Source organism: Homo sapiens, chromosome 6, assembly GCF_000001405.40.
Source record: "Homo sapiens chromosome 6, GRCh38.p14 Primary Assembly".
Lineage (NCBI taxonomy): Eukaryota > Metazoa > Chordata > Mammalia > Primates > Hominidae > Homo > Homo sapiens.
In genome coordinates this window covers 20610246-20636117 of record NC_000006.12, presented here as the reverse complement: position 1 = coordinate 20636117, position 25872 = coordinate 20610246, and the positions used below count along the sequence as shown (strand labels likewise).

The 25872-nt window shown below is 37.1% G+C and overlaps 1 protein-coding gene across 12 annotated transcripts in view, besides 2 other annotated features; it reads right to left on the bottom strand.

Annotated features, from left to right (window-relative positions):
- CDKAL1 (CDKAL1 threonylcarbamoyladenosine tRNA methylthiotransferase) overlaps window positions 1-25872 on the bottom strand; it is a 697948-nt gene that overhangs the window by 596287 nt on the left and 75789 nt on the right. The gene's annotated exons all lie outside the window — the stretch shown is intronic.
- Window positions 5363-6135: an enhancer, noted in NCBI's record as "NANOG-H3K27ac-H3K4me1 hESC enhancer chr6:20630214-20630986 (GRCh37/hg19 assembly coordinates)". NCBI's record gives its function as "activates a minimal SCP1, AML or CMV promoter by ChIP-STARR-seq in naive H9 embryonic stem cells {active_cell/tissue: H9 hESC(naive)}" and the evidence as "EXISTENCE:reporter gene assay evidence [ECO:0000049][PMID:30033119]".
- Window positions 6136-6909: an enhancer, noted in NCBI's record as "H3K27ac-H3K4me1 hESC enhancer chr6:20629440-20630213 (GRCh37/hg19 assembly coordinates)". NCBI's record gives its function as "activates a minimal SCP1, AML or CMV promoter by ChIP-STARR-seq in naive H9 embryonic stem cells {active_cell/tissue: H9 hESC(naive)}" and the evidence as "EXISTENCE:reporter gene assay evidence [ECO:0000049][PMID:30033119]".

Below are 25872 nucleotides of genomic sequence, written 5' to 3'. Positions count from 1 at the left end.
TTCTGACCTTCCCCTGAAGCAGGTTGTAAGACCCTCATCTGAGACATGCCCTCCCTATACCCAGAGGAAAGGAACATCCTTATCTCTGAAGACGAGGGGACACAGAAGAATCTGGCAAAATCAGGTCCTACTATGTTTCCCCCAGTTTACTACCATTAGATCACACTCTTTTACCCTACCATATTTCTCCATGGCTCTCCACTCTTCTTCAAACCTACTATAAAAAATACTAAAGTTTACCTGTTTCTTTGGGTCTTCATTTCCTTGTGAAAGTTCCCATGTCACATAAAACTTAAATAAATTTGAATGTTTTTCTTCTGTTAATCTGTCTTTGGCAATTTGATTTTCAGACTCAGCCAAAGACCCTAAGAGGATAGAGGAAAATCTTTCCTCCCTTTTCCCAGCAGGAAGCTACTACCAGCCTAAGGGCTGGGGAGACCCACTAGAAGAGGTGGTACAGGTTGAGTATCCCTAATCCAAAACTCTGAAATTCAAAATGCTCCAAAATCTGAAACTTTTTGAGTAACCGCAGGATGCTCAAAGGAAATTCAACATTTTGGATCTTTGGATTAGGGACGCTCAACCAGTAAGTGTATAATGCAAATATTCCAAAATCTGGAAAAAAAAAATCCAAAATCAAAAACACTTCTGGTCCTAAGCATTTGAATAAAAAATACTCAACCTGTATTATAAGAGCCCAATAGCTGGGATCATTTGACAGGGGCTAGAATAGCAGGAGTTGCCCTTTGGGACCAGGGACTACAAAGGAAGGAAGGAGCTCCCTGACAGCTGAAGCCACAGGAATGAAACTGCCACTTCCTGGGACACCACCCGGAGTAAAAAGGGAGGGAGAAAAATACCCTACCTTCTCCCTACTCCTACCCTCCAGTCTTCCATCAGTGCCTCCAATTGTCCAGATCTACTCACAAAAGCCAAATGGTAAGGATACCTATGAAATGCAATACAAAACAGGACTGAGAGGGTCAGAGAATTGGATTTGAGACCTAATAAGCAAATGACTAAACCTCACTTCTTCCAGTGTTCTACAGTTCCATAAATGGCACATCTCCCCAAATGGTGAAACCAGAACCCTAGGAATCATCCTTTTTTTCTTTCTTCTTTTTTTTTTTTTTTTTTTTTGAGACGGGGTTTTGCTCTTGTTGCCCAGACTGGAGTACAATGGTGCAGTCTTGGCTCACTGCAACCTCTACCTCCCAGGTTCAAGCGATTCTCCTGCCTCAGCCTCCCAAGTAGCTGGGATTACAGGCATGAGCCACCATACCTGGCTAATTTTGTATTTTTAGTAGAGACGGGGTTTCACCATGTTGGTCAGGCTGGTCTCAAACTCCTGACCTCAGGTGATCCTCCTGCCTCGTCCTCCCAAAGTGCTGGGATTACAGGCATGAGCCACCACACCTTGCTGGAATCATGTTTAATCATTCCTTTCCCCTCACCATCTTCCATGGCAAATCCAACAATTCCCAATGTATTTTATCTCCAAAATAATGTGAAATACACCTGCTACTTATCACTACTACCACCACCACTCTTGTATAAGCCATCATGTCACACCTGGACCATTGCAATAATCTCCTTTCTCCCTATGGTTTCCATTAAGGCAATTCAGGGAACTAGCAACAAACTAGAAAGCAAGAGTTTGTTTTAATAGTCATAGATAATCTGTACATATGCATAATTGAAAACTGGGTCAATAAGATACATACTATTTGCAGCTAGTTAAACATTTATTTTGATGAAAAAGAAAATAAGTCGTTATTGAGAATTTACTACACATAAAATAATAAAGTTGTTCAAAAAATTCAATTGTATCCATAAATTTGTATGTCCCCCAAAAATCTCCTTCCTTATTCAAATATTTGAAAAGTGATACACTGAAAATAGTTCTATTTAGTAAAGGAGCAGGCCCTAACCAAGAGAAAACCACTCACTAGCAAACTGCCAAAACATCTGCTTTCCATTCAGATTATACACAACCCTTAGTTGTTTGGCACAAATCAATAACACAAGTCATCTGCTCAGAATGGTACATTTCCAGGATCGGCACCAATTCTAGAGTATAGAATTTTAAAGAGACATCTTAAAAGAGATCTTTAGATTAATCTGCAGAATATTATCTCCAATATAAGAACCACTTCTAGATTTTGACCTAGCAAACTTACTTGGTCAAAACAACTACCAATTTCATAATTAAAAAGAAAATACTATCACAACTCAATAACAAAAAGACAATCCAATTTAAAAATGGGCAAGAGATCTGAATAGACATTTCTCCAAAGACATATAAATAGCCAACAATCACATGAAAAGAGGCTCAACATCACTAGCCATTGGGGAAATACAAATTAAAACCACAATGAGATAGCACTTCACATCTACTAGGATGGCTATACTTTTTTAAAAGTAGTAACTGTTGGCAAGGACGTGAACTGGAACCCTCATATGCTCCTAATCAAAATGTAAAATGGTTTGGCTGCTTTGGAAAATAATCTGGCAATTCCTCAAATTGTTAAACAGAGAGTTAACATATAATCTAGCAATTCCTCTCCTAAGTATATACCCCAGAAAAATGAAAACGTGTTCACATAAAAACTTGTACATCAATGTTAATAACAGCATTATTCCTAATAGCCAAAAAGCAGAAACAACCCAATGTCCATCAAGTGATAAATGGATAAATAAAATGTGGTATATTTATGCAATGGAATATTATTCAGCAATCAAAAGAAATGAAGTGCTGATACACACAACATAGGCGAATCTTGAAAACATTATGTAAGTGAAAGAGGTCAGGCACAAAAGAACATAGGTTGTCTGATTCTACCTCAAACGCATGTCCAGAAGAGACAAATCCACAGCACAGAAAGTAGACTGGTGATTGCCTAGGGCTGAGAGGGATAGGAGGACTGAGTGGGCTCAGCTAAAGGATGTGGAGTGTCTTTGTGTGGTATTGAAAATGTTTTAAATTGACTCTATGAAAACTGTGTATTTCAAATGAGTGAATTTCATGGCATAGGAATTATTATCTCAATACAGCTGTTAAAAAACAAAAACAAAAACAAAAACCTAGAGGTAAGCTGGAGCCACACCATCACCACTGTTCTCATTTCTGTGCCCACTGCCTAAATGTATCTTCCACCTGTCTGCCCTAACCAACTCCTGCTACTCATCTTTCATAGAGCAGTGTACACGTCACCTCCCCCAGGAAGCTTTCTCTACTCTCTTCAGAAAGGAAGGCACTGCTTTCTATGTGCCCACAGATGGGCCCGTGGTACATCCTGGCAACGATTCAAAAATAAATAGTCCCTCGATGAACTAAGCAATCTTTAAGTCTTCAGAGCCAAACTCAGGAGATAGAAGAGACTATGCTATTATTATTGGAGAATGAATAATAAAAGAATAAATACATGAATGAACAAATAAGCGAGACCAAGAAAGCAGAAAGGTAACTTAATGAGTAGGCATCATGACCGAGGTAGGAGAAAAACAGACTAGTTGTCAGCAATCAAAAATTAACACTAAACAAACACTCTCAGCAGAAGCTGGGGTTAAGCTCTGACAGAGAGTCTGGTATTTCTTGGAAGGGATCTTCTTGTTCTAACAGAAACATGGATAGCAATCTTTCATTCTCTGAAGCAAAGATGGTCTCCAACTTACAATGATTCGACTTATAATTTTTCAACCTTACAATGGTGCAAAAGTAATATACATTCAGTAGAGCCCATGTGTCAAATTTTGAATTTTCATCTTTTTCAGGCCAGTGATATGCACTACAACGCTCTCTCGAGATGCTGGGCAATGAACCACTGCTCCCAGTCAGCCACACGATCAAGAAGGTAAACAACTAATAATCTACAGTGGACTGTTTTGCCAGATGATTTTGCCCAATTATAGGCTAATTTAAGTGTACAAGCACATTTAAGAGAGGATGGGCTAAGCTATGATGTTCAGTAGGTTGGGTGTATTAAGCACATTTCCAACATATGAATTTTCACTTTGCCAGGATGTAACCCCATCCTAAGTCAAGGGGCATCCGTGTTACACACCAATTTTAAAAATGCACTTACTAAAATATCATTAAAATGTTTTCATTTAACAGATGTGATGAATGAACACATACAGTATAATTATAGACATGCAAAAGAAAAAATAAAAGAAAATGCACCAAAATGTTTACAGTTGCTATATTTAGATACTGGAATTCATGCTATACAGAACAGGTCCTTTCAGATTCTAGATGCTTCCAGGCACGAGTTTGGGCCTAACATGGTAAGTCTTCTTCCCCAAGCCTGAACCCTACCATCTAGAGGTTTTTACAGGTCTCTGGAGACATGTCCTGTAACATCTGACTGGTTCATCCGGAAGGGCTGACTCAGAGAAGTGACTTAGGCCCCATGGTCTTTTTCATCCAATTATTCAGCAGAGGACCAGTCTGGGACCTGGCAAGCTGAGGTTCTAACATTTGCCTTGAAGAAGGCTATTTTAAGAGTTCAGAGATTAGATTTAAAGGAATACACCATTAATTATGGGGAAATAGATGCTCAAGTGGAGAAGAGATGGTTGCAAAAATAAAAGAACTTACTGACTGACTAGACATGGGAGATGACAGAGGGAAGAGTTAAAAGTTTCCAATCTACAAGGCTAATACAAAGAGTGACACCAGTAACATAAATGGAAGCTCTAGGGAGGAGCAGGTCAGGGGAGAAGAGTGTAACTTGATCATTAGACATGTTCACTTTGAGATCCCTAACCAGTGATATATGCAAGCAGAACTGTGCCACAAGCTATTGTAGATGCATGAAAGAACTCATGTTAAGGCCAATGAAGCTGATGTCACCAAAGATGACAGAAAACAGGCACTGGGGTAGGGAGGACAGTTGTACACCAGAGGTAAAAATCATCTAGAAGGTGGCAGTATGTCACAGAGGCGTAACAGGTGGGCAGAACTTCAAAAGAGGAGTGTTTACCTGGTTGAGTAATAGTGACAACACAATGGACTTAAAAGTGGCAGCAAAAACAAAACCATGCCGACCTTTTATCTGCCTTATGACTCAGAGGGAATTTGCCTACAAATCACAAGTGCAATTAAAATGCTTGACTTAATTTCCTATACATTTCAATTTTGACTAGGTAATAAATTAGAACTAAATAACCACATTTGCATAGCATTTTCCCACTTGCATTTTCAAATGCATTATCTCATCTGAGCTCCCCAACAACCCCATGACCTAAGTATTTATAACCCCCATCTTATGGATGCGGAAACAGAAATAGAAAGAGATGTTGTGACTTGCAAAGAGGTGTCTTAAGCTGGAAACCAGAAGGCAGTGCCAGGATGGATCTTTGGCTCTACAGGCTGAACTGAAGCAAGCTGATTCCATGCTAGCTATTTGCCATCTGACATTAGGTACTGTGATATGGGATGTCTTCACTCCAATATTCAGGGATTATTTCTTTGAAAATATCCAAAATCATCAGGCTTTGCACATTTATTCAAAGGATTATAGTCACCTGGTTTTTTCTAAGAAAATAATTTTACATTTCAAATGTTATAAATTATCTCTAACCACTCTTCATGAAAAGGTAGAAAAAAAAAAAGGTGAAAAAGCAAACAACAGGGGGCTGATTAAGAATACCAAGAGGGACTGCAGTTCCTTTTACCTCCCTACCCTTCTAGACAAATTCAGCATAAAGACAATAGGTGGGACTGATAAAAGCAGGTGGCTGAGCTGGGGGAAGGCAGAGAGCAGCCTTAGGAAACGTGATCAGAGCCCATCCAAGGGGAAGAGGGTGTCAGGGCACACACAGGATGAGGAAGGCCTCTGTATGGGAGGGTGAATCAATATGGGCTATCAATGCCAGAGACACAAGGAGGGCTGGGCTGGCCACAAAGAGGGGCAGTTTGGCATAAGGTATCAAAGTCTGAGCAGGGACGTGGCGTGGTGGCTCACACCTGTAATCCCAGCACTTTGGGAGGCCGAGGCAGGCAGATCACTTGAGGTCAGGAGTTTGAGACCAGCATGGCCAACATGGTGAAACTCTATCTAAAAATACAAATCTCTACCTAAAAATACAAAAATTAGCCAGGTGTGGTGGTGGGTGCCCATAGTCCCAGCTACTAAGGAGGCTGAGAGAAGAGAATCGCTTGAATCCAGGAGGCAGAGGCTGCAGTGATCCAAGATCGTGCCGCTGCACTCCAGCCTGGCAACAGGGCAAGACTCTATCTCAAAAATAAAAAATAAAAAAGTATGAGCAGGGTAAGAGCATCCACCAAGACAGGCAGCCCAGCACAGGGTCTCAGAGCCCAAGAAGAACATGGGGCATCTCTACAGGGGGCAACCAGCACAGGGTGACAGAGCTGCGGCACAATGGGATGGGCATCTGCATGACAAGGCAGCCTGGCCTGGGGTGTCAAAGACCAGGAGGTGAAAAGGGCATCCATATTGGGCAGGAGAGCAGAAATGGAGTGAGGCAGGTATCACTCCCAGGCAGCAGGATGGCCTGTGCAGGTTCAGAAGAGCCTCTTTGCTGGGTGTTAGAACCAGAAAGGGTGAAAAGGGCATTCCTATAGAGGGACAGCAAGGTGCAGAGCACAGGAATTCAAGAGGGGTGAAAGTTTGAAGAGGAAGGGGAAATTTACATAGCCTCAAAGAACCTCCTCACAAAATACATTTAACTGCGAAGAGGAAAAAATAACCTTACAGTGGAGAAACCTGGCAGACACCACCTTAATCAACTGATCAAAGTTAACATCACCAATAATAGGACAAATCAAAGTCAGGTGTTACTTGATAAGATGCACTGAGAGAGAAAAAAAGCATCATTTCTGAAGATCTTCCCGCCAAAGATGTATAACTTGAACCTACTCATGAGAAAACATCAGAGAAAGCCAAATCAAGACACAATCACTCAAGTAACTGGCCTGTACTCTTCAAAAAATGTCAAAGATATAAAGGCAAGTAAAGAGAGAGAAACTAGTCCAGATTAAAGAAATCTTAAAGAGACATTTCAAAGGGAATCCTTTCTTTTGCCATAAAGGACATTAAGGGAATAAGATGAATGAAGTCTGAGGATTAGGTGGTGGTAATGCCTAAGTGTTATTTCCCTGTTGCTGATGGCTTTGTCGTAGTTGCGTAGGAGAATAATTTTATAGGAAACACACAATAAAGTATTTGGGGATGATGGGGCATCAAGTAAACAGCTCACTATCAAATGACTCAGAAGGCAAAAAACAAAAAAAAAAGGGTTTTGTACTATTCTTAACAACATTTCTGTAATTTTTTCTTCTTTTTGGTTTTATTTTGAAACGAAGACTAAAGAGGCAGGCTGCTCTGCAATGTAAGAATATATAGCTGTCACTGGAAAATTGCAAGAGCATGGAAGGCACTATAAAACATACAACATGATTCTTTAACCACATGAAGTATTTTTTTTTTCCCTGAAAGTAAAATAAGGGTTGGTTTTATGGGAACAATATCAGTGGCAGAACCGACAAAGATACTGACAAAGTATGCTTTTTAAAAATGTTTATGTTAAAGGAACATCTATTTTAAAAGCCAAAATAAGAAAGAATAGTCACATGTAATTATGTTAATAAATCTTTCCCTAAATAGAGAAATACATGAAGTTGATTCAGAGCCAGTTAATGTCTTTGGTGCCTTAAGTATTGTATGCCTGAGACAACAGTCAGACTTTATCATTCTAATTCACATACTACTCTATTTCCAGCTAAAAAAGAATAATCCAGTCTCCCTTCATAGTATTTTTAATATCTACAAAGTATCCAACACCTATTCAAGGTAAAAACACTCAAAAAAACTAGAACTAGACAAGATTTACCTCAAACACATAAAGAGCATCTACCAAAAAATCCCAGAGGTAACATCAGACTTACTCATTGAAAGACAAATTCTTTCTCCCTAAGATTAGGAACAAGGTAGGGATGACCACCCTCACCACTCATACTCAACATAGTACAAGAAATTATAGCCAGGAAAATGAAGCAAGAAAAGGAAATAAAATGCATATAGATTGGAAATGAACAAATAAAACTGTCTCTTTTCACAGATAATATGATTGTCTATCTAGAAAATCCCAAGGAATTTACAACAACAACAACAAAAAACTCCTAGAATAAAGTGACTTCTGCAAGGTCACAGAATTTAAGATTGACAAACAAAAATCATGACCTTTGTATACTAACAGCAAATGAAACAAATTTTAAAAGGCAAATGCCATTCCAATTATACTTCTTTGTGCCAAAGAAAATGAAATACTTAGGTGTATAGCTAACAAAACATACACAGGATCTACATGCTAAAAATTATAAAATTGTGTTGAAAAAATTAAAGTCTCTCCAAATTATCAGAGGAACTTATCAAATTCATGGATTGGAACACTCAACATAGTAAAGATATCAATTCTTCTCAAATTGATATATAACTTTAACGTAATTCCTATCAAAAATCCTAGCAAGGTTCTCAGTAGGCATAAACAAACTTATTCTAAAATTTATATGGAAAGGGGAAGTCCTTAAAATAGCCAAAACAATTCGGAAAAGAATAATGTGGAAGGAACTGGTCTACCTGACTTATTATACAGCTACACCAATCAATACTTTCTGGTCAGATGTGACCAAGGGAAACCTCCCAGGGATCATAAATAAGTATAGCAGATTGTTTAAGGAATTTCACTCACTGCCACAACAGGAAATCTTCAATATTCTTATCCTACAGAGTATGGTATATTTGTGGACCAATGACTATTTTGAGTTTCTAATTCTCCCCTTTTCTAAAGGAAAAGATTTATTTGAGTTATCTCATTCCTTTATCTAGTAGTTTTTGATGTGCTGGAAGTATATATTTGTCTTCTTAGTTCTAGGTCACCAGAGGACAACAAGCTACAACTAGACCTGATGGAGAAAACTATGTATCAAGCAGACATTCTGGACTTTGAAGTAGATGCAATTATGTATAAGAACAGGTATCATCTCCCCGGGAGAGATGGTGACTGAATTCTCTATAAAATGTATTCATAAGAAGGATATATTCGGATTTGGGCTAGCCGAAGAGGTAGATTTTGCAGCAAACCCAGAATGTATTTCCAAACTCCTTCTCCCTTCCCCGTCTACAGTAGAGGCTAGAAAAGCCAACTCCCTTTCACAGCCTTCCTTCCAGATAGAGGTGGCCATGTGAAACAGTCTGGCCATAAGACTTAAGGGGAAGACTGTTGTACTACACAGCTTCCAGGAAGGCTTTTGGTTCCCTGGTAAAACAGAGATGCTGTTGTTGATCCATGCCCTTTCCTGGTGCTTCAAACAGAAAGGTGATGCCTACAGCAGAAGCAGCCATCTTGCAACAAGTAAGGAAAGGCCAAGAAAATTACAGAACAATAGCCCTGCCATTACAGAGCAGCTAAGTCAATGTTGGCAGATATCTACCCTCAAAATGTAAAAATGAATCCTCATTAGTTTAAGTCACTATCGATTGGGTATTCTGTTACATACAATGAAAAGTATCTCTATATCATCTAGTAATAAGTTTTAAAATATTATTAATGGTAATTTACTATTACACTAATACTAACAACAAATAACTAACATTTCTGGAGCCTTTTAGTACTTTCATAACATATATTCATGACATTACATGTTATATATTCTCATATATTACTTCACTTAGCCTCTCTGGATCTCATTTCCTTTCTCTCATTCAACATGTATTTTTGAGTACCTACTATGTGCTGGGAAAACAGAGGAGGATCAAGGTTTTAGTGAAGGTCTCTGCTTCCATCTAGCCAACTTTCTAGCAGGAAGCTTATTTGCAAAATGAGACAGATGAGGGATGATGTCTCCTAACACCAATATTTATGAGGCAATGAAGGTAAGTTCTGCATATAACAGAGGCATTGGAAAAAAAGAAGTTATAAAGGAAGAGGGCTTCTGAACAATGAGACTAACTCTAACTCAGTGAGTCAAGGAAGAAAAAAATGTAACAAAAGTGAACTTAGAAGTAAAATAATTACAAAATAAAAGAAGTAGGGGAAAGTGAACTTATTCACATCCGTGGGACCCTCCACCACCCACCAAAAGTAACTCCAGAGAAGAAAACATAGATCCTAGTTAGAATTTAATGGCTGGGGATGGGGGGATCACAAGAAAGGCAGATCTTGCAGACAGCATTATTGTTTTAAGCCTAAGCTAGTAAGAAAGAGTAATAAGTTAAAATTGGTCAAAGGGGTGCAGAGTTTCCCAATTACAATCTTACAAAATCTGGCCATTTTTTTTCACATAACAGTCTACATTTTCTTCTAAGATGATAATCTATAATCTTTACTACAGCAAAATCTGTTTTATGTTGAGCTCTACCCAAAAGCAATTCATTGACTGTCAATGCCTTATTTCCACCTAACCCAATAGGGAAAATGGATCTAAATATTACAAATCACAGAAGAGGATTAAAGTACACAGAACACATTTGAGCCAAATACTCTAAATGCTTATTAAACTGTCCCGTATAGCATATGTTGACTTTTTATATACTACCTATATAGTTTGACTCATCAGAAAGCACTGATTTTCAGGGATTTGTCATAAGTTAAAGAGATATTCAGAACTTTTCAATTCATTTAGTGAATTCCACATACTGCCCAGGCGGTAACTATGAGAGCCACACAAGACTAACACACACCATTGAAATTCTTCTTCAACTAACCAACACCAAAAATGCAAAATGGATGCGTATTGACTAAACTATTTGAAGTCACCAATACATTTTTCTCTAAAGGCTTTTTTATATTTGATAGATAAGAGCACCCAGGTAAAAAATTTAAGAGTTTTATCATCTACTCAAAAGAAGTTTGCTGAAGTGGAATAGAATATGTAAGAATAGAGTTACAAAAACAGATACCAGTCTCATCTATGGAATACTCTTAGAAAGAGCTATACCTTCTCCAATAGAGTAATTTTTCCTGGAAATTAACTTTCTGTAACATCTTAACCCAGAATTCTTCAGAGTTTTATCTTACTGCAACCAGAGCAAAGACAAATATTGTCTTTTTGAATTATATGTGCTAGGTATTCTGGGAAATCACATTAGGACTCAGAAAACAGATGAAGAGAGGAGGTGAGTATATTTCCTAAACCACAATCATATGACCTGTGCCAAAAAGCATAAAAGCCTTACAGACAGAATTTTGCTGCATTATTACCAAGAGGATATTTCTATTCTACAGCCTACCCTAATTCCAGTTGTTGATGTGAATATAGTAAACTCAAACAAACAAAAATTTGGCCTCTATATACTCCGCAGGCATTTGTTCTTATACAAAATTAAATACAGAAGCTTATGTAAAAAATTGAGTAGCATGCCATCTACATGGAATTTGAAATGCTTCTCAATGTTCATGCCACAGTTTTTTTTTCCCACTACTCTCGTCAATTGTAAAAATGGGTGGTTTTAAATTAATTCTACCATCAGATCTAATCAGTGAGATCATACCAAGTCATATGAGTTTGTGGGGCTCATGGTGGTAGCAAGTTGTTAAGAACATTAAGGTGAAGAGAAGCAGAGACCCAATTACATCAAAAGCAGGACCTTCACATGTATATAAAATGGTGCAGCAGCTATACACTTATTATCTGCCTGGCCTGCCCTCAAGTCAGAAGCAAAGATACAAGAAGCATCCTCAGGAGAGAAAAAAAGACAGCACAGAAAGGGGGGAAAAAACTTAAAAATCGAATGCATTTCCTTAACTAATGATGGGGAATGGTATGGCTAATGATGAACAGTATGGTGGTGGCTGTCTACATGGGTCTCAGTTCTAAATAGTATTTCTCAAGTGTTTTTAAAAAAAGAAAAAGGTATCTACCAAGAACTGACTACCTATCTCTGTTTATACTTCCTCATCCTTGTAGTCACTCCAAACCACCAAATGTCTGCTCATAAATTTTGAAAACAAACTGCTTGAATTAAATAGTAAACTCTCCCAAACTGCACAAGATCTAATACCAAGAAAAGAACTCTACAATAAGCCTCATGTCAAAGGTTATCAGTCCTTCAAAGAAAACACATAAATAATAAACCCATACTCCTTTAAAAAAATATAACCATAGCTATCATTTATTGAGCATATTCTCTGTGCCAGGATCAAAGAGATTTACATGCATAAATTCACTCAATCTTTATAAGGATTCTACAAGGCAAGTACATGATTAGCCCCACTTTACAGATGAAGAACCTGGGCTTAAGTAAGCCAAGGCCAAACATTACAAATAGTGGAACACTGATTTGAACTTAACAGTCTGGCTCCAGACTCTGCAACTTTAATCACCAGTGCTATTAAAAGCACATCAAAATAGACTGATAATAAAATAAAGGTCTACTGCATACTGCTATTTTTCTTTATTTCAGAAACCATGACTTAGGAACCAACAAATATTCCCCTATTAAATAACTACCCTCCAACTTTGATTCACTTTGTAAAACATATACAGCAAGCATTTGCACTGCATAAATATTTTTAAAATCACTATACCTCTTCTGTAAACTATAGCAATAAGATTTTAACAAGATTTGAACATAACATAGCAATTTCCTTTCCTCACTGATTTTGGGAAAGTGTATTGTAAAGGATCACATTTTAAATCCCTTAAAACACTGAATCACTTAAGTGCTACAAAATAAGTCTAAGCTGACAAACTATGTTATATAATAATGTCATATCCTATTCCAAATATCCAAAATGAATCATTGCATAAACTTAATAGTTTACTTTCTTTGCTTAAAAAGTTGGCTTTTATACTGATTATCTTAAGACTTTTCAAAAATTACCAGTCTTCTCAAATAAGTATATGTATTTTCATCACAACTTTAGTTAAGCTCTTTATCTGTTGTTACTAAAAAAATGAATGGGCTTTCTGCAACAACCAAATTTGACCAAAACAATCTGTTTGAAGAGAAGTTATGCTTGCTTTGCCTTGGAAATACAAAGATTTATCTTTCATTATCTTACTAACAGAAGACTTTTAATGTACATTTTTCTTCCCCAAAAAATCCATACAAAAACAATATAATTAGTCACCACAAATATGCTTAGACATAAAAATACTTTATTGAAAAAAGCCTGACAAAGAAAAGTAGTTTCCCTTTTGTTTGAGACAATTAGGGGGAAAAAATTAGTGTGTCAGTTTCTAATGCAAATGATAATCAATTAAGCTCCTTCATCTATAAAATGAGAGTTGTACTAGATAACAGCAAAGATAGCAACTAGATATTACAACTGTACTTAAATGTAAATGGTAAACTTGAGGAGGCAGTAGAGTGGAAAGGCTTTAGGGGAAAGAAAATATTGGTCAAAGTAAAAGATAGCAGAATATCACTTCTCGGCCTTTTGGCTAAGATCAAGTGTAAAGATGGCAGAACAATACAGAATCACTGAACCTGTATCTCTCTGAACCCAATGAACTAAACACAAGAAATAAAATAAGCAAAGAACAACATCAACAGTGTTCTTAACTTGGGAAGGGACCCAAACTGAAACTATAAGCTTTTGAACACTGTCATCTAGAAGCAGAGTAGGCAAAACTAAAAACATTTCAGTATCAATCCAACACTACTCTCCATCCCCTTTGTCTAATATATCCATCCAAAATCAGAAAGCAATACTGTGAAAATTAAAAGGTGAACAGATATAATTCTCAAATATCTCACTGATAGGATCCAATCCTTAGTTTTTTTAATACAATTTTCAAACATACAAGTAAGAAATTAGAAAATATAGTAACCATGAAGAATTTTTTCCTTGGGGTAGGGGAAACTTGTGTATAAAAAATTAGGCAGCCCAAGGAAGAATTAAAACAATTCAAGAATTGAGAAGTCCTTATACGACACAACTGAGAGTGAATAGAGTCCACCTAAATATAGAAGCAAAGCTAAACAAAAGAAAAAGGTAAAGAATAAAGCTGCCATAAACTTAAAAAGTGTTCTTAAAATCACTTAAATATTAGGAGTTGTAATAAATTAGAGCTGGAAACATCAGTAAGAACTCATGTTTAACTTCATAGAGACACATATAGAAATATTTTTATATATGTATTATATCTAAAGATTAGTATATACACATTTTTCCCTGACACTGGGAGAGTTTAAAAGAAATGACACCTCAGTAATAAGCACACCCAGCACCAGATGTTGGTTTCTAACACTACTCTTCAATAAAAGGAATCAAGGCTTCTTGGAGAAATGGCTGATTTTAAGACTGGGGCAGGAAATATGCAAGATGAGCCCAGAGCATCTTGCAGTGCCAAAAAGTGGTCAAAAAAAAAAACACTGAGGTATGCAAAGGGACACAGGAGCGACTGACACGGAAGTGACTGACAGGGTCATCTCCCAATGGCCAAAGCTAGATCAATTTAAGTAACAAAATAAATAAAGTAGTATTGAATTATAACTCAAAGTATAAAATAAATATCTATGTCTCCACAGTGATATAAATGATTGAATAAATTAATAAATGCAGGAGAAGACACAAATCTCCTGTGTAGAAGAATTCCAAATAAATTATGTAGATACACCACTCTAAAAAAGGGGGAGCACAACCCCCCGACTCCTTCAGTGCAAGCTCATGTAATGACTTCCAGTATGGAAGGGAGGGAAGAAAAGAGTAAACTTCACAGTGGAGAAAACTGACAAGCACTACTTCTACCAGGTTTCAGGTTAACACCAACAGTCATAAATCGTGTTGACAATACATACCCAGGATATGATGTGGTGAAAATGGCAGCACACTTGCATGGTCTTCCTCCCAATAACCCATATCCCAGGCTAATCATGAGAAAAACACTACATATATTCTAACAGAGGAACATCCTAGAATACATAATAACCTGGACACCTGGATTCCTTAAAAATGTCAAGGTATGTAGTAGCAAAGCTCTTTGAAAAACCACCACCAAAAAATCTCAAGGTAATCAGTAACAAATTACAATTGTACTTAAATGCAAATGGTAAATCTGAGGCAGCAGTAAGGTAGAGTGGAAAGGCTTTAGGGGAAAAAAAATAAAGTCTGAGAAACTGTCACAGCAAGAGGACCCTAAGGAGACATGACAAGTAAATGTAATATGGTGTCCTGGATGGCATCCTGGAAAAGAAAAGGGACATTAGATAAAAACAAACCATGGACTTCAATAATAATGTATTAATATTGGTTCATTAATTGTAACAAACATACCGTACTAATATAAGATGTAAATAATAGGAGAAGCTATGGCAGGGAAAGAGAGGCACCTATAGGAGCATTCCATACTACCTATTCAATTTTTCTTTAAAAGTGTTGAAAAAATAAAATTATTAACAGAAAAAAATGCACCTATTAGGAAGCCAAAAGTTTTCTTCCAGAAAAAAAAAAAATTCGGTGTTAGACAGGCAGGAAATATAGACCCAGTAAACAAGTGTGCTAGTCTTCTCATCTTTCAAGCATTCAACAAATACTATCAAATGTCCAGAAGTAAGAAAGAGCATTATATTCAGAAATGTAGCTTCAAATCCTCACTCCATCATATATTAGCTGTGTGGCATTAGCCAAGATACTTAACCTCTGGAGCTTCACCTTTCTCATCTATCTTATGTGGATAATATTTATTTTGCAGATTCGTTGTGAAGATTAAAGATGATATATGCAAAGTCACAAGAGCAGATCCAGCATATTGTAGAAGCTTAACAAATGGCACAAACATTTAAATTCTTTAAGAATTTATGCTATTTTCAATAATTCTAAATTCAATCATTCTAAAAGAATGTTAAATTTATAAAAATAGAAAGTCTTTGAGCTATCTTGTTAAATATACATTGTTTGGTTATGACTATTCCAGATTTCATCATTTCCCTCCAAAAGATTAAGGTGACTTTTCTTTTCTCCAGTATAAGCTATGGCTCTGTATATGTGGAAAATAAGGCTTTCAGCCCAAGCCTTGTTTTACCACTTAACCAACACATATGAACTAATAATAGGACTGAGAATCTACGGGAAGAAAACTGAGAAATTCTCTCTAAACGTGAGTTCGCTTGCACAGATAATTTACCTATATTGAACAAAACAGACAAAAGTAGATTACAACAGTTTATTCAAGTCAAAGAAGAGAGGTGTGAGTTAGCTTTCCACAAAAATCCTTCATTAAGAGATGGTGCTATAACCTTTCCAAGTCACTTGAATACATATAGAAAATAGGGGGATATTTAAAATATAGAAAAGCGAAACACAGAAATTTCATTTTAATTTAATCAAATGACTGGCTAGTGAATTCACAAACAAGTGCCTCATTAAATCTTTTTTGGAACTGCAGGGCTCTGGAAGACCTAACCAGTCAAATATGTATGAGATTCAGCAGGTTGTAGCAAGGCATAGACACACCATGAAACTGGAGAAAATTAAGGGGTTGAAATTTGTTCAGAAAAGGAAGAATTGCCAGTCAAATTGGATATATGAATGATACAAATGATAACCAAAATCTGCATTTATTTTATATTGCTGCAAGGTATTTGGTGACTATCTGGTGATTATTAGGGCTATTTGGCAAAAATAATTTCTCATTTTTTTTAACTAGAAGATAGAATTGTATTTATCACATACAACATAATGTTTAGAAGCCTATATACATTGCAGAATGACTAAATCTAGTTAATTGATGTATGCATTACCTCACATAGTTATTTTTGTGATAAGAACACTTTTACATCCACTCTCTTAGCATTTTTCAAGAATACGATATATTGTTAACTATTGTCACCATGTTGTACAATGGTTCTCCTGAATTTACTCCTAACTAAAGCCTTGCAACCTCTGGCTTTCTATTTTTCAAAAGAATTTTATAGATGCACAAGAGTCTGAACCATGTTTTAAGTTTCTGAAGTTGCCTTTGGAGTACAAATCTGAGGATACATCTGAATTATCAATAACAAGTGATATGAGGGTAGCTTAGCTTTAAATAGTTTAAACAGAAAGGAAAGATAATATCCATGGAATCCAATTGACAAATATAATCTAAACTGAAATTTATAGCTATGTAAAATATTTGTACCTGTCACTATCATAGAAGTATATTTTCTCATATGAAACTGAAAAAATCACCAGGTGCAATGGCTCACCCCTGTAATCCCAGCACTTTGGGAGGCCAAGGAGGGTGGACTGCTTGAGCTCAGGAGTTCAAGACCAGCCCAGGCAACATGACAAAACCTCATCTCCACAAAAAATACAAAAATTAGGTAGGTGTGGTGGCACGTGCCTGTGGTCCTAGCTACTCAGGAGGCTGAGGCAGGAGGATCAGCTGAGCCTGGGAAGTCGAGGCTAGAGTGAGCCAAGACTGCGCCACTACACTCCAGCCTGGGTGACAGAGCAAGACCCTGTATCCAAAAAAAAAACGAAAAGAATTGATAAAATGAAAACTGAGCACAAATCTTAGTGGTATAATTCTGGAATCAAATAGGGAATATGCCTGGACACGCTTATTCTCAAGAATGCAGTCATGAATTTGATCAAAATGTTACCAATTTCTAGCATTAAGCCTTATGCACACTTTCAAAAATAGATTAGGCAATATCATTCAGGACATAGGCATGGGCAAGGACTTCACGACTAAAACAGCAAAAGCAATGGCAACAAAAGCCAAAATTGACAAATGGGATCTAATTAAACTAAAGAGCTTCTGCAGAGCAAAAGAAACTACCATCAGAGTGAACAGGAAACCTACAGAATGGGAGAAAATTTTTGCAATCTACCCATCTGACAAAGGGCTAATATCCAGAATATACAAAGAATTTAAACAAATTTACAAGAAAAAAACAACCCCATCAAAAGGTGGGCAAAGGATATGAACGGACACTTCTCAAAAGAAGACGTTTATGCAGCCAACAGACACATGAAAAAATGCTCATCATCACTGGCCATCAGAGAAATGCAAATCAAAACCACAAGGAGATACCATCTCACAGCAGTTAGAATGGCGATCATTAAAAAGTCAGGAAACAACAGATGCCAGAGAGGATGTGGAGAAATAGAACACTTTTACACCGTTGGTGGGAGTATAAACTAGTTCAACCATTGTGGAAGACAGTGTGGCGATTCCTCAAGGATCTAGAACTGGAGATATTGTTTGACCCAGCGATCCCATTACTGAGTATATACTCAGAGGATTATAAATCATACTGCTATAAAGACACATGTACATGTATGTTTATTGCGGCACTATTCACAATAGCAAAGACTTGGAACCAACCCAAATGTCCTTCAATGATAGACCAGATTAAGAAAATGTGGCACATATACACCACGGAATACTATGCAGCCATAAAAAATGATGAGCTCATGTCCTTTGCAGGGACATAGATGAATCTGGAAACCATCATTCTAAGCAAACTACCACAAAGACAGAAAACCAAACACCGCATGTTCTCACTCACAGGTGGGAATTGAACAATAAGAACACTCAGACATAGGGTGGGGAACATCACACACCAGGGCCTGTCATGGGGTGGAGGACAGGGGGAGGGATAACATTAGGAGAAATATCTAATGTAAATGACCAGTTAACAGGTGCAGCACACCAACATGGCACATGTATATCTATGTAACAAACCTGCACGTTGTGCACATGTACCCTAGAACTTAAAGTAAAATTTAAAAAAAAATAGTTTTAAGCTACATTTGAAGCACTTCTTTATTATTCCCTAGGTCCTATCCATACATTTGGCTATACTTAACCACTGATCACAATTTTATTATTCATAGGGCCTACACACAGACTGCTCATTAAGTGGCCCCCTAGGAAAATCATCTAGACACTTCTACACTAATAAAACATTCCAATACCATGGCATACAGAGGCAGATCTCCCTTAAAAGCAAGTTCAGGGAGAAAGTTTCATGAGGACACAACTCTAAGCAATTAAAGGACTAATATGATACCACCTTCAGCAACTGAGTACCAGTAAAAGCACAGACATCAACTATTAAGCCCCCCGTGGTTTTTCTCTTTAATTTAGAACAAAAAGGCTTTTTTTTTTTTCTTCTGAGACAGAAAGGTTTCACTCACCCAGCCTGGAGTGCAGTGGTGCAATCACAGCTCACTGCAGCCTCAACTTCGTGCACTCAGGTGATTCTCCAGCCTAAGCCTCTAAAGTAACTAAAACTACAGGTGCACACCATCATGTCCAGCTAATTTTTGTAGTGTGTGTGTGTGTGTGTGTGTGTGTGTGTGTGTGTGTGTGTGGTAGAGTCGGGGTTTCGCCATGCTGTCCAGGCTGGTCTCGAACTCCTGGGCTAAATGATCTGCCCACCTCAGCCTCCCAAAGTGCTGGGATTACAGGCATGAGCCACTGCTCCTGGCCATAAAAAGTCAAATATATCTAGAAAACCCCATTGTCTCAGCCCAAAATCTCCTTAAGCTGATAAGCAACTTCAGCAAAGTCTCAGGATACAAAATCAATGTACAAAAATCACAAGCATTCTTATACACCAATAACAGACAAACAGAGAGCCAAATCATGAGTGAACTCCCATTCACAATTGCTTCAAAGAGAATAAAATACCTAGGAATCCAACTTACAAGGGATGTGAAGGACCTCTTCAAGGAGAACTACAAACCACTGCTCAAGGAAATAAAAGAGGATACAAACAAATGGAAGAACATTCCATGCTCATGGGTAGGAAGAATCAATATCGTGAAAATGGCCATACTGCCCAAGGTAATTTACAGATTCAATGCCATCCCCATCAAGCTACCAGTGACTTTCTTCACAGAATTGGAAAAAACTACTTTAAAGTTCATATGGAACCAAAAAAGAGCCCGCATCGCCAAGGCAATCCTAGGCCAAATGAACAAAGCTGGAGGCATCACACTACCTGACTTCAAACTATACTACAAGGCTACAGTAACCAAAACAGCATGGTACTAGTACCAAAACAGAGATATAGATCAATGGAACAGAACAGAGCCCTCAGAAATAACGCCGCATATCTACAACTATCTGATCTTTGACAAACCTGAGAAAAACAAGCAATGGGGAAAGGATTCCCTATTTAATAAATGGTGCTGGGAAAACTGGCTAGCCATATGTAGAAAGCTGAAACTGGATCCCTTCTTTACACCTTATACAAAAATCAATTCAAGATGGATTAAAGACTTAAACGTTAGACCTAAAACCATAAAAACCCTAGAAGAAAACCTAGGCATTACCATTCAGGACATAGGCATGGGCAAGGACTTCATGTCCAAAACACCAAAAGCAATGGCAACAAAAGCCAAAATTGACAAATGGGATCTCATTAAACTAAAGAGCTTCTGCACAGCAAAAGAAACTACCATCAGAGTGAACAGGCAACCTACAAAATGGGAGAAAATTTTAGCAACCTACTCATCTGACAAAGGGCTAATATCCAGAATCTACAATGAACTCAAACAAATTTACAAGAAAAAAACAAACAACCCCATCAAAAAGTGGGCGAAGGACATGAACAGACACTTCTCAAAAGAAGACATTTATGCAGCCAAAAAACACATGAAAAAATGCTCATCATCACTGGCCATCAGAGAAATGCAAATCAAAACCACAATGAGATACCATCTCACACCAGTTAGAATGGCGATCATTAAAAAGTCAGGAAACAACAGGTGCTGGAGAGGATGTGGAGAAATAGGAACACTTTTACACTGTTGGTGGGACTGTAAACTAGTTCAACCATTGTGGAAGTCAGTGTGGCGATTCCTCAGGGATCTAGAACTAGAAATACCATTTGACCCAGCCATCCCATTACTGGGTATATACCCAAAGGACTATAAATCATGCTGCTATAAAGACACATGCACACGTATGTTTATTGCGGCATTATTCACAATAGCAAAGACTTGGAACCAACCCAAATGTCCAACAATGATAGACTGGATTAAGAAAATGTGGCACATATACACCATGGAATACTATGCAGCCATAAAAAATGATGAGTTCATGTCCTTTGTAGGGACATGGATGAAATTGGAAATTATCATTCTCAGTAAACTATCGCAAGAACAAAAAACCAAACACCGCATATTCTCACTCATAGGTGGGAATTGAACAATGAGATCACATGGACACAGGAAGGGGAATATCACACTCTGGGGACTGTGGTGGGGTGGGGGGAGGGGGGAGGGATAGCACTGGGAGATATACCTAATGCTAGATGACGAGTTAGTGGGTGCAGCGCATCAGCATGGCACATGTATACATATGTAACTAACCTGCACAATGTGCACATGTACCCTAAAACTTAAAGTATAATAAACAAAAAAAGTCAAATATTTGATTATCTTTTGAAAGTCCATATTTTTAAAGCTACACGCAGAACTACTAAGAGGCAAATGACATGTTATCTGGGATTGCTTTAAAATTCTTCAGCAAAAACATAAGTAAAAGGAAAAAAAGATAAATCTTAATTACTGAATCTGTGATAAGTAGGGGGGTCTTGCTGAGCTATTCCCTCTACTTGTGGGTACGTTTGAACTTTTTCATACTGAACAAACATAACTCTTAAATATGAGAGAAGGAATACAAATACATTTAGTAAGTTAGCTTTTGGTAGATGCATTCGAATTAAAGGAGAAAAGATAAATTAATAAATGGTATCAGGAGAAATGGCTAGTCATCCAGGGGAAGGAGAGCTGGAACCATCAATGATGCATAAATCAAAATAAATTTCATGTAACTCAAAGATTTAAATGTAAGAAAATGAAACCATTAAAGTAACAGCAGAAACAATCAGAGAATTACCATCATCACCTTGGAGTAAAAGAAAACACTGATAAAGTGAACTATGTAAAAAGTAATTATTTTCTTCATGGCAAGAGCAACCATAAACAACATAAAAATATAGCAAAGGGGGAAAAATCTGGAAATCATATCATGAAGGGTTGATTTCCCAAATAGAGAGTACCTACAAATCAGTAAGCGTCACCCAACAGAAAAATGATAAAGGGATACAGACAGGTCACAGAAAATGAAACAAAAAATCACCCTTGTAAGAAATGCAAACTAAAAGACACTGAGATCCCATTTTTCATTCATCAGATGGGCAAAGATCAAAAAAAACTCATGATACATAGAACTATGTTGGCAAGGTTCTGGGGAAACCAGCAAGCATATATGTTGTTGATGGGAGCATAAATTAATATAATCTCTACACAAGGCAATTAGGTAATATCTATCAAAATTAGAAATGTACACAACTTTTAACCCAGTAATTACACTTCCAGATAGTCTAAAAATATATTTATGCATATGCAAAATGATACATAAATACAAAGACATGGGTATCACTGTAGCAGTTTTGTTATTAGCAAAAGCCAAGAAAAGAAACAACAAAAATGTCTAGAATAAAAGGAATGGCTAAATAATATATATTATATATAAATATATAAATATTTACTGTATATAAATATCCCATATCCTCAAAATGGAATATACTACTACTTCAAAAAATAAAATAAGAAACTTTGTCGCAGCCAGGCATGGTGGCTCACACATGTAATCTCAGCACTTCGGAAGGCCGAGGAGGGCAGGTCACTTGAGACTAGGAATTTGATACGAGCCTGGCCAACATGGTGAAACCCTGTCTCTACTAAAAATACAAAAATCAGCCGGGTATGGTGGCACATGCTTGTAATCCCAGCTACTTGGGAGGCCAAGACACGAGAATCACTTGAACCTGGAAGGCGGAGGTTGCAGTGAGCTGAGATCACGCCACTGCACTCTAGCCTGGGTGACAGAGCGAGACTCCGTCTCAAAAAAAAAAAAAAAAAAAAAAAAAAAAAAAAAAAAAAAAAAAGAAAGAAATTTTGTGATGAACTGATAAAACAAGGTAACCAAATCATATATTAGCTGCAATTACTTCTGCAACAACCTAAATAGTTAAATGAAAATCATGTGTATTATATGCTAACTTTTATGTAAAAGGAGAAAGCAAAAAACATTATGTATGTATATATATATGTGTGTGTGTGTACATTTATTCTTATAAATCCATACCCTTTGTGTGTGTGTGTGTGTGTGTGTGTGTGTGTGTGTGTGTGTGTGTGTGTGTGTGTAGAAATTGCAACAATGAGTTTCTTCACAAATACTTAGCTGAAGCAGACGGCAGATGGATGGAGTCTTATTACTTACTGTATGGGTTTTGGTTCCCTTTGAATTTTGTGCCATTCAACAAATTATCCATTCAAAAAAGTGATTTTACATAGGGAAAACACTCCAGGACATTGGTCTAGGCAAAGATTTTATCATTAAGACCTCAAAAGCACAGACAACAAAACCAAAAGTAGACAAATGGTTTTACATCAAGCTAAAAAGCTTCTGCACAGCAAGAAAACCAGGAACAAAGTGAGGAGACAACCTACAAAAAGGAAGAAAATATTAGCAAGCTATTCCTCTGACAAAGAATTAATAAGCGGAATATATAAGGAACTCAACAGCAAAAAAAAAATCTAATTAAGAAACAGGCAAAGTATGTGAATAGACATTTCTCAAAACGAAACATACAAATGGACAACAGGTATATGGAAAAATGCTCAACATCACTAATCATCAGGGAAATGTAAAGCAAAACCACAATGAGATATCATCTCACCCCAGTTAGAATGGCTACTATTAAAAAGACAAAAAATAACAGGTGCTTATAAGGATGCAGAGAAAAGGGAACTCTTGTTCACTGTTGGTGGTAATGTAAATTAGTACAACCATTATGGAAAACAGTATTGAGATTTCTCAAAAAACTACAAATAGAACTACCATATGATCCAGCAATCCCACTAACGGGTATTTATCCAAAGGAAAAAAAAATCAGTTTATCAAAAGGATACCTGCACTTCCATGTTCACTGCAGCACTACTCACAATAGCAAAGCTATGAAATCAACCTAAGTGTCTGTCACAGAAAAATGGATAAAGAAAATGTGGTACATATATACAATGGAATGCTATTTGGCCATAAAGAAAGAACAAAATCATATCATTTGCAGCAACATGAATGGAACTGGAAATCATTACATTAAGTGAAATAAACCAGGCAAAGAAAGACAAATTTTGCATGTTGTCACTCATGTGGGGGCTAAAAATGTTGACCTCATGGAGGTAGAGAATAGAATAATAGATATCGCAAGTGGGAAGGGGATGTGCCAAGGACTAGGAGGGATAACGAGAGACTGGTTAATAGGTACAAACATACAGTTAGATAGAAAGAATAGGTTCTAATGTTTGATAGCCGAGTAGGGTGACTACAGACAGCAACAATATATTGTATATTTCAAATATACAACTAGAAGAGAGGACCTGACATGTTCCCAGTACACAGAAATGATAAATATTCATGGCAATGAACACCCCAAATATTGACTCAATCATTACACATTGTATGCACATAACAAAATATTACACGTACCCACAAATATGTAACATATTATGTATTAATTTTTTCAAGTTTTAATATTCTTAGCTTTATCCAAGAGCATAACAGTAATAGTAAACACCAGTGTCTTGGTCACACACATTATTAATTTTAAACTGAAATACATAACAAACATGTTCATTCTGGGTCACAGGTAAAATCTTCCCCATCTATCATATACCAATAATAGAGTTAGCCTCCTGAAAAATAACACCATCACTTTAAAATCATCTGTAATCCCAGCACTTTGTGAGGCTGAGGCAGGTGGATCACTGCACAAAGGACCAGTCCACAAAAGCTGACACATATAACAGGATTGCCAGAAATGGAGAACATAAAGAAAATGAAGGTATGGAAATTAAGGACAAACTTAAAACCTTTCCAGGGCTAAGACACGAAACCTCAGATTGACAGAATCCCTAGAGCCCTAAGCATGAAGTAGCTGAATAGACATTCACACCAGGAATGTCCTTCTGATATTTAGATGACTAAGGCTAAAAATAAAGGCCTAAAAGTTTTTGAAAAATGAAAAACAAAAGATGCCTGCAGAGAAAGAAAACAGATGGCCACCAGATTTCTTAACTATTAGAATAAATTCTAAAGGAAGGAATGCCTCAAAGCTGTGAGGGAAAATGACTTTGAATCTAAACATTTAGACCCATTCTAGTCAGGCGTGGTGGTGTGCACCTGTAGTCCAAGCTATTCAGGAGGCTAAGACAGGAGGATCACATGAGCCCAAGTTCAAGATCCTGTCTCTAAAAAATATTTTAAAGTTTCAAAAACTAGACTCATTCCAACAAGTATGAAACATGTTCAGTTGTGCAAGAGCACAGAGAATTTACCACCCAGATCTTTTCTGAAAGAATTACTCAAGAATTAGATTCTAGCCTAAAGTAGAATTTTGTTGCCATTGTCTCCCTGCCTTTTATATTTTATTAATGTTTGTTTCCTGTTTTGGATAAGATTTACTTACAGAAAGGAAAATAAGAGAAAAGGAGGGAAAGTGAGGGAAGGGAAAGTCTGGCCTGATATGGGTTATTGGTCCTATGGTAAGTTTGTGCATGAGGGAAGAGGAGAGGGAAGACTGGGCAAAAACAGAGCCAAATATAATTTCAAAGTTGTCACTACTTCAAAAAAAAAGAAAAAAAAACGTTTTCCACACCAGTCAGAACAGCTATTATTAAAGTCAAAAAATAACAGATGCTGGCAAGGTTGGGGAGAAAAAGGAAAAGCTTATACAATGTTGGTGGGAATGTAAATTAGTTCAGCCACTATGGAATACTGTATGGCGATTCCTCAAAGACCTAAAGACAGAAATACCATTCAACCCAGCAATCCCATTACTGGGCAGATATCCATGGAAATATAAACTGTTTTATTATAAAGACACATGC